At 38.6% G+C, this 18,216-nt stretch overlaps 1 protein-coding gene across 4 annotated transcripts in view, besides 1 other annotated feature; it reads right to left on the bottom strand.

Annotated features, from left to right (window-relative positions):
- FRMPD4 (FERM and PDZ domain containing 4) overlaps positions 1-18,216 on the bottom strand; it is a 902,085-nt gene that overhangs the window by 643,737 nt on the left and 240,132 nt on the right. For 2 of the 4 annotated variants that reach the window (NM_001368402.3, NM_001368400.3), the window contains exon 1: positions 15,212-15,246. The exons of the other annotated variants lie outside the window; for them this stretch is intronic. The gene's annotated coding sequence lies outside the window, so the exon portion shown is untranslated. Of the gene's footprint in view, positions 1-15,211; positions 15,247-18,216 lie in introns of those variants that run through there. 4 annotated transcript variants of the gene reach the window in all.
- Positions 15,210-15,410: a silencer, noted in NCBI's record as "peak7357 fragment used in MPRA reporter construct". NCBI's record gives its function as "represses an SCP1 promoter by STARR-seq MPRAs in K562 erythroleukemia cells {active_cell/tissue: K562}" and the evidence as "EXISTENCE:reporter gene assay evidence [ECO:0000049][PMID:32103011]".

The following is an 18,216-nucleotide window of genomic DNA, read 5'->3' as shown; positions in this document are numbered from 1 at the left end:
AAAGCAGCTGTAATCACTACTGAAAGAGACATGCTCATAAATTCTCTCTGAATTATAATTCCCAGATAATCACATAATACATAATTTCTAGAACCCTAGATGCTTCCTCTTATTTTTCTCCTAGGAATAACTGTCTTCTGTTCCTTCTACAGGTGCTGATATTTTCTTATGGTTTCAAGGTAGACTGTGTTTTTATTTTTTTGCTTCCAAGTTTTAGAAGTTCTACTGAGAGCTTTGTGTCTAGTTAAATGTCTTCTCACAGAAATCCACAGGCTTTTTCTCCTCACTTAAAATTTGCCAGGAGAAAAACCACCTCTAGCTGAGGGATGTAAGCCAAAAACAAGAGCACTCCCTGGTGGACATATGTGGTGATACCACCTAAATAGAAACATGGACCACTTTTTCACCAGGCTGTCAAGAAGAGGTGATTAGAAGGAGGACCACATATGTTATCGTCCAAACCAGAAAGCTTTTGAGAGTGAATGAAGATTTTGAAAATAATGACACCAGGAAAACAAGTGTAAACCAAGACTGCAATGTAAAACCATTTTAGGTATGAAACTTAGAAATAGTGAATCTATCCCTGGGTAATCAAAGTAAAGCAAGAAAAAGAATTTGCTAACTTATTATGGAGGGAAAAGTGGAGAGCCACAGAGTTGGCAAATAATGCTATCATCCTCTCCTCTCTTCATTCTATCTGCACTCAGAGAAAGAAGCGTGTTACTGATTAGAAGGATCTGATCTCTAAGAGTTTCCAAAAGTAACTGGCTCAGCAACAATTTTCAAAATGTAAAAACTTAATTTCTACACAAATGTGTTAATGATCCAAATGGCACATTAAGATGTATCCTTAATTTTACTTTTTATTTAAAGCCTAGAATGTAAAGAGACATTCATGTTTTTAGCCAGTTTATATTGTAGCAATAGATTATTAATAGGTCTCTATTTTAAGACCTTGGTTGCAGAATATATTTCAGTTAACGCTGCCAATAGCAGAATGACTTAAATAGGTAGGTCTAAGACTGCAGATGTTTACAAAATAAATGAAATCATCAGGTTATGAGTATAGCACTGGCAGGACCTAATACTACCTTGGCTTAGAGAAAAATATTACATAATGAAACAAAATAAATGGAAATAATCTTTCATGAGTGCCAGTACTTTAGATTTATGGGGTCATCTATACAAATTGCAATTTCTAATAGATTGCCAAACATGTGTCTGAGGACTTTCATTTCCAGTTGTGTACATTTTATTATTGGAAGGGCTAAAAAATAAAGTCTTAAAGTGTAAAAATGGGGACATAAACCTTTGGAAATGGATCTTGTGTACAGATTCATTAAAATAACTGTATCTTTCATCTGAGTTTTTATTAATGTTTAATTATATAAGTTGCAAAACTTCATTCTTTTTTAGTTAAATGTCCTGAGACTGTCAATGGTAAATAGATATTTCAACTACTAGGTACATTGTTGGTGTGGGGGGAGGGGGCGGCGGTGGAGAATTTCAATAAACATAGAGAACTTTTCAAATCAAATAAAAGTATGGCTTCTGGTGCTACAATACCATTATTCTACCATTATTTTATAGAAATGTGTAAAATATACATATTTTACAGATGAGGTGACCTGAGCATACAGAAATTATGGTCCAAATTAGGACTGGAACCCTTTAAACCCTAGTAGGCTGCCTGAAACCAGTTCTAAATTTCCAATTGCCTTAGATCATCAGTTGTAATGCAGTGGGAGACTCACAGCTGTGTTCATACCAATTTCACCCTAATTATGTTTCCATGAAATTACACTGCATGGATTTTACTGCAATCAAGAGACGCCCACTGTCTCCTTAATGGAAACCTGGGGAAAGACCCTGGCTTAGTGGATCTCAATTGAGGTTGATTATGCACCCCCACTTACCAAGCGACACTTTCCAGTGTCTGGAGACATTTTTAGTTGATACAACCAGAAAGGTGAGGAGTGCTACTGGTATGTGGTGTGCAGAGGCCAGGGGTGTTACTAAACATCCTACAATGCGCAGGGTAGTGCTCCACCACAAAGAATTATACAGATTCAAATGTCAATAATGTTGAGGTTGAGAAATACTGTCCTAGACATTAGTACTGTGTTTCTAAGTGATTTCTTAGGATGGAATCTGACACTTGATAATTAAACCAACCAAATTGACGTTAATGCTTATGGACTGTAAAATCAGATACCTTTACAATTATTTTCTTGATTGTGGAAATGTACTGCATCTAGAACTTGATGTTCCCTATTCAGAGGGTTGCAGAGTCTTTAGAAGGTGTTTGTGGTACAAGAAGAGAGGCAATAAATTCTGAGAGGCTCTGCTAAGAAGAAATGGCCAGTTTCATTCTTCATACCCCAAGGTGACCTGCAATGAATCCATTCTTGTAGAATCCCTTCCCCTTGAGTGTGGATGCTTCTAACCAATAGACAATGGAAAAGTTGCTGGGATGCTATTCGCATTATTATATTACATAATATAAGACTTCGCCTTAAAACACTAGAATGAGAAATTATCCTGCTGGCCTTCAAGAAGTGAGCTATCATGTTGTGAACTGCCTATGGAATAAGCCACATTTCTTGAAACCGTGGGAATCATCTAGGACCTGAAGACAGTCTCCATCTGACAGCTAGTGAGAAACCAAGGACTTTGGTTCTACGACCTCAAGGAGATGACTTCTCCCAACGGCCTGAGGGAACTTGGAGGAAGATCTTTCTCCAGTCTGGCTACAGGTGACTGTAGCCCTGGCTGACACCAGCATTGCAGGCATGTGAGGTCTTGAGCAGAGGACCTAGCTAAGCTGTGCTCAAACATGAGCCACAGAAACTGTAAAATAATGTGTGTTGCTTTAAGCCACTAAAATTGCAGTAATTTGTTATACAGCAACAGTGAATGAACACCCCATGGAGGAGCAGTGATTATGGCACTAAAGGAAAAGTGTGGAGCCATGTAATACTCTTCTTTATTGGCTGGACTTCCTGAGAGAGAGAGAGAGAGAGAAGTCTGCAGGTGATGCTTGGGGCGAGGAACAGCATAAAATGGTATCTAGAGACCAACTGGCAGCAGTGCATCAAAGAGAACTATGTATAGAAAATTCCACACGGTGTCAACAAACAGAAGTCTGGAAAGCCTCTAGATTTCACCCTTACCCACTTTCTCTGCAAAGTGGACAGGTCAGCCCTAAGTGGGTGAAAATATGAGAGATGCTTTTCCATTAGAAATGGCATGCCTTGGCCTGACACATAATACCCCTGGTGCACGAGTTTCATCAGTTCGGGAAGGAAATGTCAAGAAGGTGGATTTCTCTGTTTCCAGCTCAAAGCCCCACACTCCCTTCCTTGTGCCATTAGGAACCGAGGGACTGAATATAGTCTAATAGCAGTAATGCCCAGCCCTCCATCTAGGGTTCCAAGAGCAAGATTCAAAGAGAGGTCAGATGAAATAAAAAGATTCTGTCATTGCTACCTACTGGGAAGACAAGCAGAACAGTCCCAATTCAAAGTACACAAAACAGAACACAAATGTGGGGTCTAAACAAAAATGCTTATAACTGGAAACAGTAAATTTGCGATGGAGGAGGCAGATGATGTAAATAACCAGTGGAAGATTTATTCAAGTACACAAAAGAACATTTGACTCAAACTCTGATGGAAATATAAAGAAACATAAGCCCTGTAAAATCATGAGAAAAATGAATTAATAAAAAAAACAGAATGAGAGGAAAAGGGTGCTGGCAGAGCTGAGGAAATAATTTGAGAAGAAAAATGCAACGCTGTGCCACTATGAAAGAACTGGAGGCAGGGATAGTGTTTGGAAATGGTATTAAAATAATACAAACTTGAGGTGTATTATCCAGTCTGGAGGCATTCATGATGAACAAGGTTGAGTGCAGATTTAGGAAAGAGAGAAGAGAATGCAGAAAAAGGTCTGTTTGGAGGAGGGAGAGAATAAAAATAGAGTTGTTTTGTGGAATTTGAGCAAGGAATTCCTAGAAGCAAAAGCAGTTACCATCAAGGGCTAAGGAAAGGTCATCAATGCATAGATAAAGTGGTAGAAAATCTGCTCTCTGTGGAGGAAGGGAAATCAGAGTGCCTTCAATTGTGGATTTTTGAGGGTCCTTGATCTCTATGGGCTACCAGGGGGAAATCAGAACTTTCCAGATCAAAGTGGGAATAGCAGGTATTTATTTGATCATCTGTAGTTTTCAACTAGGACTCTTAAGCTGCCAGGCGGTATTCTTTCCCATCCACTCTTGCTTCTGACAAATAGACTTTGATTTAAAGCTAACTTTTAGAATCTTTAGGTAAGATTTCTGTCTCAAGACACTAGGCTGTCCTGTAAACCCTGGCAACAGGTCAGGATATGCTCGCTCGCTCTCTCTCTCTCTCCACACACACACACACATACACACACACACACACACACACACACACACGTTTTGCTAGGGTTTAAGCTGCAGTTGATGCTTTCACCAGCATTATCCTATCTAAGGACTACTAACTTGCCATTTGGAAACACCAGTTGGCGCTACTCTATAGAGAGTAAAGGAGTCAGTGAAGATATAACTCTATCTTAAGAACCAAATGCTTTATTCATGCATTTGATATGCTGCAGCCAACTTCCAGTAGAACTGAGAAATGTTCTTCGTTCTCTACCCCAAGTGTCTATTCCTCATTCAGGGCAGGAAAGAGAGCAATGAAAAACATTCCTTATGGCTATGTTTCAAAACAAACAAGCAAACAAACAACAAAAACAACAACAACAAAACAAAGGCAGAAACAGTTTCAAAAAGAATTCATAGAATAATTTTCTGAGATATTTATTATGAAGCAAAGGCCAGAAGTGGGGGTTAAAACATTCCTAAGGAAAGGGTAGGGAGAGGAGAGGACTTGTGAAGTGAGAAATGTCTTGTTTTGTAATTCCACATTCAACTTCCCAGTGCTCTTTGCTATCAAGACCCATGGGAAGCCCAGTTCAGTCCAGGCAAACTAATTCAGCAACCACTGTGGTCATTGGCTGTCTTGCTGCTAATTTGCTGTTATAAATAAAGTCTGGAAAGTGACTTGCTGCTCCGTGATTATCATTTAGTTCTGGCCAAGAAAGCTAACTTTCCCACAATGCTAGTTGGCTGGCAATGAGGAGACATAGGGCACCTGCTGCAGCTGTCATGCTGACTGCAGTACCGCAGACAAGGTTCTGAGGACCCAACCAAAATTTACACCTGGTCATAAGGCATGCAGAATTGTTTATTCATTTATTTTATCTTTGCTCAAATGCATGTGTTAAATGAATATACTTTTATTATTTTTAATGCAGTCTTTTCTTCTCATCATCTTTTTTCATAAGAGCCATTTTAGGTTTACAGCAAAAATTGAGCAGAAGGTACAGAGGTTTTCTATATACCACCCCCCACACACACATAACCTCCCCCACTACTAACAGCCTTCACCAGAGTGGTACATTTGTTACAACTGATAAACCTATATCGATACAACATTATCACACAGAGCCCATAGTTTACATAAGGGTTCACCCCATGTACATTAGATTGGTTTAGACAAATGTATAATGACAAGTATCCACCATTATAATATATAGAGTAGTTTCACTGCCCTAAAAATCCTCTGTGCTCCACCTTTTCACTTCTCCCTCCTCCTAAAATTATTTGTAATACTCCAAATAAACATAACAGGCATTATAGCATTTTAGTACAATTAGATAAGAGCTCAACTATTGGAGACATGATCTAGCCAAGTAAATTGCCCTTTGCTGCCTGCAAGATTGTGGTTCTTCAGCTTTTTTATCATTGATTACAACCCTCTTCCCACACAAGCTACAAAATCCTTCTTCCCTTTACAAATACTGTACTTGTCTTTTGAAAGACCATAATTTAAAGCATTTGGGAAAGAATATCTCTGAACATTGTTTTAAGAATTATAGGATGAAAGAGATTATCTTATTTATGTCACTCGACATGGTGCAAGATCCACACAGAGCAAATGTATTTTCCATCTCTTGTCACTGGAGAAAAGCTAGCAAAACATGTAATACATTTTTGGAACACTTACATTTTCTTATTATCTCAAATTTCCCTAATAGAATATAAAAACCATATGTTGAATCAATAATATGTTGTGTTGAAGGAATAATCTCATTTATATTGAAATGGTAAAGCAGGTCTATCTGGCTTGATTTCAGGGAACCAAGAAAGTTACCTTATCTTGCTGACTGATGCCTCAAATTTTATATCAGTCAATTATCTCTTTAGATTAAGACACTGATCTCTTTGTCTGGAAAAATCTCTAAGCAGGTATCAGGCATTTGCATCTAAGTGGGGACCTAGGAGCAGGATTTAATAAGACACACAAGAGAAAGAGGTGGAAGAATGAACGGAAGGAGCAACACAAGGAGATGAGGGCTGGAGGGAAAACACCTGGGAAAAATCAGAAGACGGGCTTGCCTGAGATGAGTGTCAGCTCCTTCTCAATTTTGGAGTTGGAGTTATAGCAGTAGTGGTGATCTTTTAAATAGGTATCAATGTTTTTATAGCAAGTAATCTAATCTGTAAATTTCTTTTACAAAAAGCACAACCTATTATGAATTTTGACATAAATTATTCCTGTATAACAAACACGTCACAAACCTAAAACATATACAATGTAATATTTGTATTTGTAAAAAGATTAGTATCCAGATTTTATAAAGAACCCTACAAATTAGTAAGAAAATTTAGCAAACAATCCAGCAGAAAACTTGAAAAAACAGATAGGTAAATCAATAGAAGAGTGAAAGCAAGTGGCTAATGAACATATGGAATATTCTCCACTAAGTCTGAATGAATGGAAAGATGAAAGTGCTAGTTTGTAGAAAAATACCGATTAAAACAAAAATGAGAGTTGGACATGGAGGTACACACCTGTAATCCTGGACACAGGAAGATCGAGACATGAGGATCGTTTGAGCCCAGGAGTTCAAAGCTAGCCTGGACAACTAGCAAGATCCCCTTTCTAAAATAAAACAAAATGCAAAACAAAAAATGTGACATGTTTTCACACACATCAGATTGGGCAGGAAGAGAAAGATACATTATTACATTCATTTTGGAGAGTAATCTGGCTCTATCTAGTTTAAGATGGAGTTTCACATTCCATTTGGTATGGTAATGCCACTGCTAGGCATATGCCATAAAACAAGGGTCAGCAAATTATGGGCCATAGGACAAATCAAGACCATTGACGGGTTTTGTATGGCTTATGAGGTAGGAATTTTTTTACACAAACATTTTAAACAGCTGAGAAAAATAATCAAAAGAATAATAATGATGGGAAAATGATGTGAAATTCAAATGTCAGCAACTAGTTTCATGGACACACAGCCATGGCCACTAGTTTATGTATTTTCTATGGTAATTTTCATGTTATAACAGCAGGGTTCAATAGTTGTGACAGAGGCCATTCCAGCCTGAAAAGCTGAATGTATTTACTATTTGGCCCTTTACAGAAAATGTTTGGGAACTCTGGCCCTAGGGAAGCTCTCATATATGCGTACAAGGAGGATGTGCAAGAGTGTTCACTGGAATTTTGTTTATATTAAAAGAAACTGGAAGCAATGTTAATTAAGAAATGACTGAATAAACTGCCGTATATTTATACAATGAACTAGAATAGTTAAAAAAATAGACCTACATGTATCAACTTAGATAAACCTTTAACACCCAATGTTGAATGAGGAAGAAAAAGCATGTTGCAAAAGGATACAGTAAGAAACTACTTATACACATTCTGATAAATACCCTAAGTGATACAGTACATGTTGCATGAATATATATATACATATATATATAAATAATAGAAGGTAGGTAATTAAAAAATACACACCCTCAGGTTGCCAGTTATTTTTGCAGAAGAGTGGAACGGGATGGGGACCTTCATCTGCATCTATAAATTATATTGCTTTAAAAAGCAATACTTGTAACAAATAAAAAGCTCAGTGTGTTTAACCGGGGCATATATATGTTTATTGTGACATGCTCTGTATCTTTGAAATGTATGAAATATTTTCATAATAAAATATTATTTCAGAATTGCAAAACCACTCCAATAAGCTATTAAGTCTATTGTCCACATTTTCAGCTGACTGCCACCTTTTCTGCAAATGCCCTTTGAATTATGTAATACTTAGGGAAAGAAATCAGACAGGAGGTTTGGCTAGTGTCAACTCTGAAATGTTGGATGCTAGGAAATGCACACAACCGGGCATGATTAATTACATAGTGCACAAAGCCATGTTATTTGACTATACACCTAATTACAGTGAGCAACATACAGTACGGGTGACAAAATAATTGCTGTAACCCGATACAAATGCTTTATGAATTTTGGAATGGAGATGGAAATGGGAACAAATTCAGTAGCAATATATTGCATGAGGAGTAAGGTATCTCCCCATCATTCCTCTCTTAATAAACAGTGTGAATTTCCCAGACACGATGAATTAAAAACAGCTTCATTTTCAACAGCAGCATCTGAAAAAGAAATAGAAATGTGCTGTTCCCAGCTATAAGTCGACAGTGATATTGCTATGAGTCATGATTAAACACCAATGAAGGGCCAGGTGTGGTGGCACATGCCTGTAGTCCCAGCTACTGAGGGGGCTGAGATGAGAGGATCCCTTGAACCCAGGAGTTCAAGGCTGCAACGAGCTATGATTGCACCACTGTATGCCAGCCTGAGGAACAGAGCAAGACCCTGGCTCTAAATAAATTAATAAAATACAATAAAAATAGATACCAATGAGAATGATGTCAGACGTGGTAAACTTTAGACCATTTATCTAAACGTAGGGAAGTTTGAGGTTTCCTGGGGCCAGAAAGTGTTCATGGAAGTGCATTTCCTTGTATAATCACTCATTACTGGGTCACATGCCTGCCTGGCCAGTTCTGGTCCTTCCTTTGGCTGGTAAGGGTGGAAGTGGAGCACAGGGAAAGTTTTCACCACCCTGTAAAAGCAGAGAAAGGGCAAGTAGCAGACACGGGTGGCTTGTCAGGCTATATCAGCCTCACAATTGTGCCTGTTTGCCTTCAATAACAAGGAGACAAGCGGGAGCAGAGATTATGCAGCATTAGTGTAAGAGTCTTGGAATCATGCAACCTGGATTTCATTATCAGCATTACAACTTGCTTTCTGTGCTTGCAACTCTGAGTAAGCTCCTTGTTTCCTTGTCCTCTCTGAGGCTGAATTAATGAAATTGTAATCTAATAAGAGTAAACATCTATCTCATAGGATTGTTGAACATTTTAAAGAAGAATTTCTGCAAAATAAAATGCCTTATAAAGAGTTAAGTTCTGCAAAGATATTAGGTGTTCTATCAGATGCTTTGGTTTGTGTAACATGCAACTTATTGAGACCATTTCCGCTGATATGTGTGTTATATGTCATGGTTCCTGTCATTTAAAAAGGGGTTATAGGCAAGGAGGGAGGGAGGTAGGAAAGGTGCAAGAGGGACATATAGGAGGAAGAAGGAAGGAGGAGAAAGAGCTGTATGGGGAGGGTGGCAAGCTAGGAATGACGAAGCCAGGAGGAGGAAGGGGAAAGGGAAGCCTGTTTACCACCCCAAAGGAACATCTTGACCAAGTCTGATCAATACTCAGAGACCCATTCTATTGGCGCTATTTATGGGCTCTGGGCAAGTAACTCAACCATCTTATTATTGTCATCTGCAACGTGTGGATTATTTAGCCAGTCTCTCATAAATCCTGTGAAATAATTTTCTAAGACAAAAAGTTGACTCTTCAAGATAAGTTCAAAGGGCACACTCCCCTGAAAGATCTTAATGACAAAACCAGCCACCAAATCGCTGTGATGAAACCAGTGGTTTGCAATGCAAATGTCCAGGAAGCTTGAAGGCTTGCGCTTTAAATGATTTAGTTCAATTGGAGCTCATCTTTGAAAAGACTGGTTCATCACATGGACAATATCAGTTCCATAATACATATAGACTTTTGTCCCAAAGGGCCATCTTTTATATGAGATGATGCTGACACACAGTCATTGGAACTATTTTTTTTCCCCAGTAGTGACGAGGGCTCTGCAATAAATTAGCACCATGCGGCTCATGCACCCTGGCCTTTATTTATATGGTTCACTTTAGTGGTGTGGTCCACAGTTGTAGAGCAACTATTTATCTGTTTAGAGGCGACAGAATGACATTAGGCTAGAGATTTGAACAATGGCCTCAGCATAACATTCTAACAAATGAGTTAAACAAACCAGATATAATAACTACCACTCAATTGGATAGTTGCCTATATATGTGGGTTTTCTATGAAAGCCCAGACTTTAAAAAATATTCTGTCGTCTTGTTCCTGCTAAACCATGAAATTACCCAGAAATTTCTATTTTTTTAAATTTTTGGATCAAAATCACATTTCTTGAAACACCTCTCACATCAAGAAGTGGGAAAAAAATTCTCTATTAAAACATATATATCCCTGTAAATTGTTGTGAATGCATGTGAGCTGTCCATTCACTACTTACAAGATCCAGCTTTCCACCTGCCTGCTGGACCCACCCCTCCTCTTGGCCACTCAAGCTCACGACTTTAGCAACTGTCTCTCATCTATGCATCCTCAATTTCCCCCTCTCTATGTGATCATTGCTAGCTGCATTCAATACTCTGTAATATCACAGATATAAAAAATTCAAAAGCCTTTCTTTGGTCCCACATTCCCCACTAGCTCCTGCTCATTTCTTTGTTTGTCTTTAGAAAGGTTTACCCACATTCACTGACTCCTCTTCCTGTCTACTATTTCTCTTTGGACCTACTGCCATCAGGTCGTTTTTTCTCCATCATTCCACCAGACTACTCATACAAGGTCACCAGTGACTCCCATGAAGTCAATTCCCATGATCCAGCCCATCTTTGTCATCTCATTTGCATATTTGATATGCTAATCTCTCCCTGCTCCTCAAAACACTTTCTTCATAAACTTGGGGAACTCCTCTCCTGCTTCTCTTCCCCCTCATGGGTGAATCTCTCTCAGTCTCATTTTCTCTACCTCAAAACACTGGGGTGCCCTGGGCCCAGCCCTCTTCCTTAGGTGAGCTCATCAAGCTTCCTGGATTGAGTTACCTTCCACCCACTGACCTTTCTAAAATTTCTATCTTCAGCCTGGACCCCTTGTCAGAACACCAGATTCATACCCTATATCTCACATCCAACCCATGAGAAAATCCTATTGGCACTTCTAAAGATGTATATCCACTGTTTGGTGACTTCTCGGCACCTCTGCTGTGGCAACTGACATTTAAGATGCCATCACAAGTTGCCTGGACTCCCATTCTCTCTGCTTCCACCCTTGCTGCCTATAGTCTAATTTCCATGTAGCAAACCGGGTGATACTTTTAAACTATCAGATACACTGCCTCCCGAAGCTTCCCTTCATACTCAGGGTAAAAGACAAATCCCTATGCATGGCCCTAATGACCAGCCCAATGTACTTCTCTGACCTTGCTACCAGCAGTCTTCCCCTCGTTTGCAAGGCTTATCTCCACAAGCATCTCTTTATATGTCATTGAACCTGCAAAGCATCCTCCTGGCTCAAGGATCTTGCTCTTGGCTGAGAAAATGGTATTGCTCAGTACCTCATTTTCTTCCAGTTCCACTCAAATGTTACGCTATTGGAGAGGCCTTCCCAGCCTCCCTATATAAAAAACCTCAACCTAACACTCTTCATTCTGCATGCTCTTGATTTTTCTTCAAAACACAGATTACTGCTGGAGAGACTATAAATTTATTAGTATTTGTCTATTTGTTTATTGTCAGTGTATACCCTCCAGATGTAAGCACTTCAGGAGCAGAAAGTTTATTTTTTCTTATAAAGTTCCTAGAATTTAGTCTGACATATGGTAGACACTCAACAAATATTCACTAAACATTACATTTGTTACTTAATGGGTATTTATATAGAGTGCTCTGTTTTAATAGCATTCAATCCATTAATCAACTAATCGACAAGTTAACCAATTATTGATCTACTGTGTGTTAGGAATTTTGATAAAAGTCAGGAATGAAACCAAAGAAAACCGAGCTCTAAGAGTTCACAGTTAAGGAGGAAAGTTAGAAAAATAAACAGCCTAGTTCCATAGTTTCATTTAAACATACTCTGTCATACTGCATACATAGACTTCAGCAGTGGGAAAGCAGAGGAGGGGAGGAGCTTGAGGGTCAAAAGGTAACAACACAGATTAGTTGTCAATAGATCTGCTGTGTTCCCCAAATGATGGTTTCCTTCCTCCCTTTATAGTTTTTCTGAAGAGTAAATATTTTTAAAAATCTGAGCTTATTATTATAATCAGAGAAAAGTAGCTTTCATTTGAAAAAAAACAAAATTTTTATTGCGTTAGTTTCTTCTTGCTGCTATAGCAGATTATCACAAATTTAGGCGCTTAAAGCAGTGTTAATTTATTTTCTTACACTTCTGAAGGCCAGAAGTCCAAAATGGGTTTCACTGGGCCAAGGTCAAGGTGTCAGTGGCACTGTGTTTCGTCTAGAGTCTGTAGGAGAGAACCTATTCCATTGCCTTTTTCAGCTTCTAGAGGCCACCCACATTCCTCAGGTCATGGTGCCTTCCTTCATTAGCAAAGCCAGCAGCATAGCATCTTCAAATCATTTCCCTCTCCCTCTCTCACCTCTGCTTCCATCTTTCTCAGACACTGACCCTACTGACTCCCTCTTATAAGGACCCTCAGGATGACATGGAGTCCATCCAGATGATCCAGGAAAATCTATCTCCCCATCTGAAGATCCTTAGCTTAATCATGTCTGCAGATTCCCTTTGGCATATGAGGTAACATATTTACTGGTTCTGGGATTAGGACATGAACACCTCTGCAGGGCCATTACTCTGCCTATACAACAGTTAAGTACTGTGAAAATAGGGGAAAAGATGTACTATACTGAGTAATCAGATCAGTAACTTGGGCATGCCAAAACTGTGACAGAACTTGAGAACACACAATTTTGTTTTACATTAAAAGTATCTCCACTGGCCAGGCACAGTGGCTCACGCCTGTAATCGCAGCACTTTGGGAGGCTGAGGCAGGCAGATCACAAGATCAGGAGTTTGAGACCAACCTGGCCAACATGATGAAACCCCGTCTCTACTAAAAATACAAAAATTAGCCAGGCATGGTGATGCACGCCTGTAATCTCAGCTACTCGGGAGGCTGAGGCAGGAGAATCACATGAACCTGGGAGGCAGAGGTTGCAGTGAGCCGAGATTGCACCATTGCATTCCAGCCTGGGAAATACAGTGAGACTCCTCTCAAAAAAAAACAAAAACAAAAACAAAAACAAACAAACAAACAAACAAACACTTTGTTTTTGGCTTTCAGTGACCAAAAACAGATGGGTGAGCATTGGCATCCCTGCTGGCCATAGGAATTTCTGGGAACTGGATAATGTCTGCAAGCCAGTGGAGAACCGGGGATCAAAGGTGCGGTGGCTATCTTCTGATCTTCTCGTGTGAAAGATGTTCACTGTGCACTAAACCTGTCATGGAGTTCAGTGCTTCCTTAAAACTTGGGGACTGCTAGCCAGGCTTGGTGGCTCACGCCTGTAATCCCAGCACTTTGGGAGGCCGAGGTGGGCAGATCATGAGGTCAAGAGTTTGAGACCATCCTGGCCAACATGGTGAAACCCCGTCTCACTAAAAATACAAAAAAAACTAGCTGGGCATGGTGGTGCACGCTTGTAGTCCCAGCTACTTGGGAGGCTGAGGCAGGAGAATAGCTTGAACCCAGGAGGCGGAGGTTTCAGTGAGGCGAGATCACACCACTGCACTCCAGCCTGGGTGATGGAGTGAGGCTATGTCTCAAAAAAAAAACAAAAACAAAAACAAAAAACTTGGGGACTGCTGCTCTGTTTTTTTTTTTAGGTATTTGGAATATAAACTAGAGAAAATATAGTTTGAGTTTTACAATAGGGTTTCCCACCAAATGATGCCTAAAATATAGTGTTCCTATAAAAAAAAACCATCCAGATTTTTTTTTAGAAAACCTATAATAAAACATTATTTGGGGAACTTAGGTGGTCTACAATATATGAATTCCCTACATTTTATTGACTTCCAAATATCCAAAACTTTTAAAAACCTAAATATTCCATAATTAAATTCTTCCTACCCCCATGAACATGCCCAAAGTAGTTATATTTGTTAAAGTGCAAACAGAACTCAAGTTGTTTAAAGGGCAAAAAGCAGAAAAGAAATAATGAACATCCCAACAAATATATTTGTTTAATTGATCCCTTTCATTGTTCCTGTGCGCATCATGCTCACAAAAAGGCATATTCTTGGGAAGTTAAATTTCAAGGGTTTATCTCCAATCATGAAAGATTACAGAAAAGACAGTCTTAGAATTTGATTTGTTTCCTAGGTAACACCCCTTCAAATCTGATATTAGTGCCACATCATTTTGCTCCTACACATGGATAAAGATCCTAAAACTACATAGTGTATATTTTGGGAACAGAAGATGACTTGAATAGACATCCTAAAAGAAGGATCTCGGGTGGGTATTATTTTTTGGAAGAAAATTTAATTTATTTGAGTTAATAAAAATAGCAGGAGAAGGAAACAAAATTGGAAACTTGCTGAAACTTAATTCACTGCAGGATATTTTTATCTAACAAGTTAATCTTGGACCCCAACCAAATGATTTCATTTTCTGAAACACATGAAATTTCTCATATTTAACCCAATAGCTGTGACATGATATAGTTCCCAGAGGAGGAATAGAGTTAGATTTAAATGTTTAAACAATAGTGGCTGATTTGTGAAACTTAATAATGAGTAAGACTAGAACTACAACATAAATGAGACTTATATAGACTGAAAAAATGAGTAATTTCTCACATAATTCCAAAGTACAAATTTGGATTTCTAAACATATAAACATTAAAATTACTTCGATCAAAAGAGAGCCTTCCTTCAAGGTATAAAAACCAAGGACAAATCATAAGGTGTGTCTATGTCCCCATCTACTTCTGGAATATTAGTATTTAGGGAATACTTTGTTCGAAATAATCATCAAAGGCAGCCTTGAACCACCAAACCAAAAGCAGAAACAAGAACAGCCACAGTAGGCAGACTGCTGCAGCAACACACAAAGCCAGAAGAGCTACTCACATTCAATATGCAGCCTCAAGGGTTGAGATGGAAGTGGAGAGGGAGGAAGGAGGAATATAGCCATCAGGCAGCCAGGCCTGATCCATCTAGTCAGCCAGCCCGAACGCCTGCGCCTTTTCAATGGAACTGTCCTAGGTTCTGAAATAGGCATCTGAATAAGCCTTGGTTCCCCTGATGACAATATGAAATTGTCAACAGTCACTGTTTGGCGTTGGCTGGAAACACTCTCCCTTTCTTCCCTTCTTCTACCATGAGTCACTGTGCATTTCCAGCCACCTGCTTCTCGCAGTGGCTCAGCACCTAAGCCTGGCCAGGAACAGCTCTGTTTGAAAGGGATAAACCAGAATACCTGGAGCTCATACAGAAATCTGTTTAAAGGTTTAGTGATTTATTTCCTTCTAGTATTCACTGGCTTCTTAAAAGTTATAAGACCCACTCAATTTGCCAACTGAGAATGATTTCAATAGTATTCAATAGGATTTGCAAGTAGGAATCTTTACATCCTTTAACAAACTACACAAGCTTAATTACTCTATTTTTATGTTAATTGCCTTCTCTTCCTTTAGTAAATGGATATTATTAATATGCACACTGACATATAAAAATCATATGGATTCTGTGTACTTATTACTAACCTGAAGGGTTCAAACCATATTTCTTCCTTCACAAATAAGCCCATTATTGTTAAACGAGACAGAAAATTTTTAGTAATCCTTATTAAAAACTGTTATATTAATCCACTGAAATGAACATTTTCAATTGTTTTGGAGCTCAACTAATTACTGTATAAAGCTCCAGAATAAATTTTATCCCAGGATATATTGTCAGGGATTCCTATAACCTGTTTCCTTTTTGAGCACTGGAAGAATCACATAATAATCTGGATGATGATTTCTTACTCCTGCACAGATTACCCTCAGTGTACCTCACTTTTTACTCATCTGCACCTCACTTTGATTATCAACAATTCTAAAGCTCTACATTCAAGTATTTTCAGTAATAGATTTAAAACATGCCTTCATTCACCTCTAGAAAAAGGCACCTGACTAGTAAGTCACACATCAGACACATTTCCTGGCCAAATGTCTGCCAGGCTTAAAATAGGCACAGGAGGCATATTCTTGGAGTATACAGATATATCTAGATCCCTAAAAAGCTCTAGTTCTATAACAATTCAAATCTGTGCCAGGGATATGGTACTCTCTCATGAATTTTCCCCTGCTGCCACAAAATTTGGTTCAAATCCCAACTCTGACACAAACTTGTCCTGGAACGTTGAAGAAATACAATATTGCCTTAAGTACGTATTATATCATTTGTGCAATGTCAGTGATTACATATGTAAAGTACCTAGAACAATGCCTGGAATAAGTAGTGGTCAAAAAATAATATGGTTTGCCACAAACAATTCCGTGATGCACAAATACAGTTGACTTTCAAAGATGCAACTTCCTGGCTTACAGCTAAGTACAGAACAGCTAAGAATGCCAATGTGTCAATTGCTTTTGAACTGATAGGCACATATAGACATATGGAAGGTTCACTGGAAACTCAGCCCACAAACTTCAAGTATTTTAAGTAGAATGAGGTGCAACATTATACTCTGAGTGGAATTTAGATGTCTTTATCAAAACAAAAGTGAATCCATTTGTTTTTCTCTATACATGACACTAATTTGAAAACCTAGATGAAATAAACAGTTTTCTATGAAAATATAAATTTGCAAAATAAGGAGATACAGATAACATGAAATGCCAAATAACCAAAGAAGAATTGGAAAGGGTAGTCAAAATTAACCCCCACAAAGGCATAGATGGGTTTTGTTGTTAGGGTCTTGCTCTGTCACCCAGGTTGGAGTGCAGTGCTGCAAGCTTGGCTCACTTTAGCCCCAAACTCCTAGGCTCAAGTGATCCTGCCACCTTAGCCACATGAGTGGCTAGGACTACAGGCATGTGCCACTGCACCTGGATAATTATTTTTCTTTTTATTTTTGTACAGATGGGGTCTATGTTAAATAACAATGCAATCATTATTTTAAAATGTATATATGGATTTAATTGCATTACTCTGTTAAAGCAGAAAAGCTTATTATCTTTTCAGTAGATAATAAAAAGCATTTGATAAATTTCAATATTTGTTCTTTAAGAAAAACTAATATAGGAATGGTGAAAAACATTTTTTTGTTTGTTTGTTTGTTTGTTTCTTTTGAAATGTGGTCTCACTCTGTTGCCAAGGCTGGAGTGCAGTGGTGCAATCATGGCTCATTGCAGACTCGACCTCCCAGGTCCAAGTGATCTTCCCACCTCAGCCTTCCAAGTAGCTGGGACCACAGGCATACACCACCACACCAGCTAATTTTTGTATTTTTGTAGAGACTGGGGTCTGCCTATGTTGTCCAGGCTGGTCTCAAACTCCTGGGCTCCAGCTATCTTCCCACCTTGGCCTCTCAAAGTGCTGGAATTATAGGCATGAGCCACTATGCCTAGTAGCATTCTTAATTTGAATAAAGAGGTCTACCAGAAATCTATGGTAAACATCACTCTTGGTGATAGAATATTAGAAGCATTGCCATAAAGCCATTAATAAGGCAAACATACCCATTCTCATCTCGACTAATCAACATTGGACTGGAAGTCCTATATGATTCAATATATAAATAATATAAGCATAAACATTGGGAAATGGCTATAACTGTTTTTGTCATAATATTCTGACACAAATTTTCTATCTAGAAAATTCTAGCAGCTCAATAGAAAAATCAGTAAAACTAACAAAACTCAGTAACATGTGAGATAGAAAATCTTATAAAACCAAAGTTGCCCTATAACCACCAATAACCAGTTAGAAAATATAATTAGAAAAAAATAAAAGAGTTTTTGACAACAGCACAAACAACCTCTGCTCCACACATTTATCTATCCACCCACCCACCAAACATGAAGAAAAGAAACAAATACTAAAACACTGCTGAGGAGAGAGAATGACTTGAGTCTTGGAGGCAGAGG

The sequence above is a fragment of the Homo sapiens genome, chromosome X (assembly GCF_000001405.40).
Source record: "Homo sapiens chromosome X, GRCh38.p14 Primary Assembly".
Classification (NCBI taxonomy): Eukaryota; Metazoa; Chordata; class Mammalia; order Primates; family Hominidae; genus Homo; species Homo sapiens.
The sequence above is the reverse complement of the archived record's forward strand: the minus strand, read 5'-3'. Positions and strand labels throughout refer to the sequence as shown.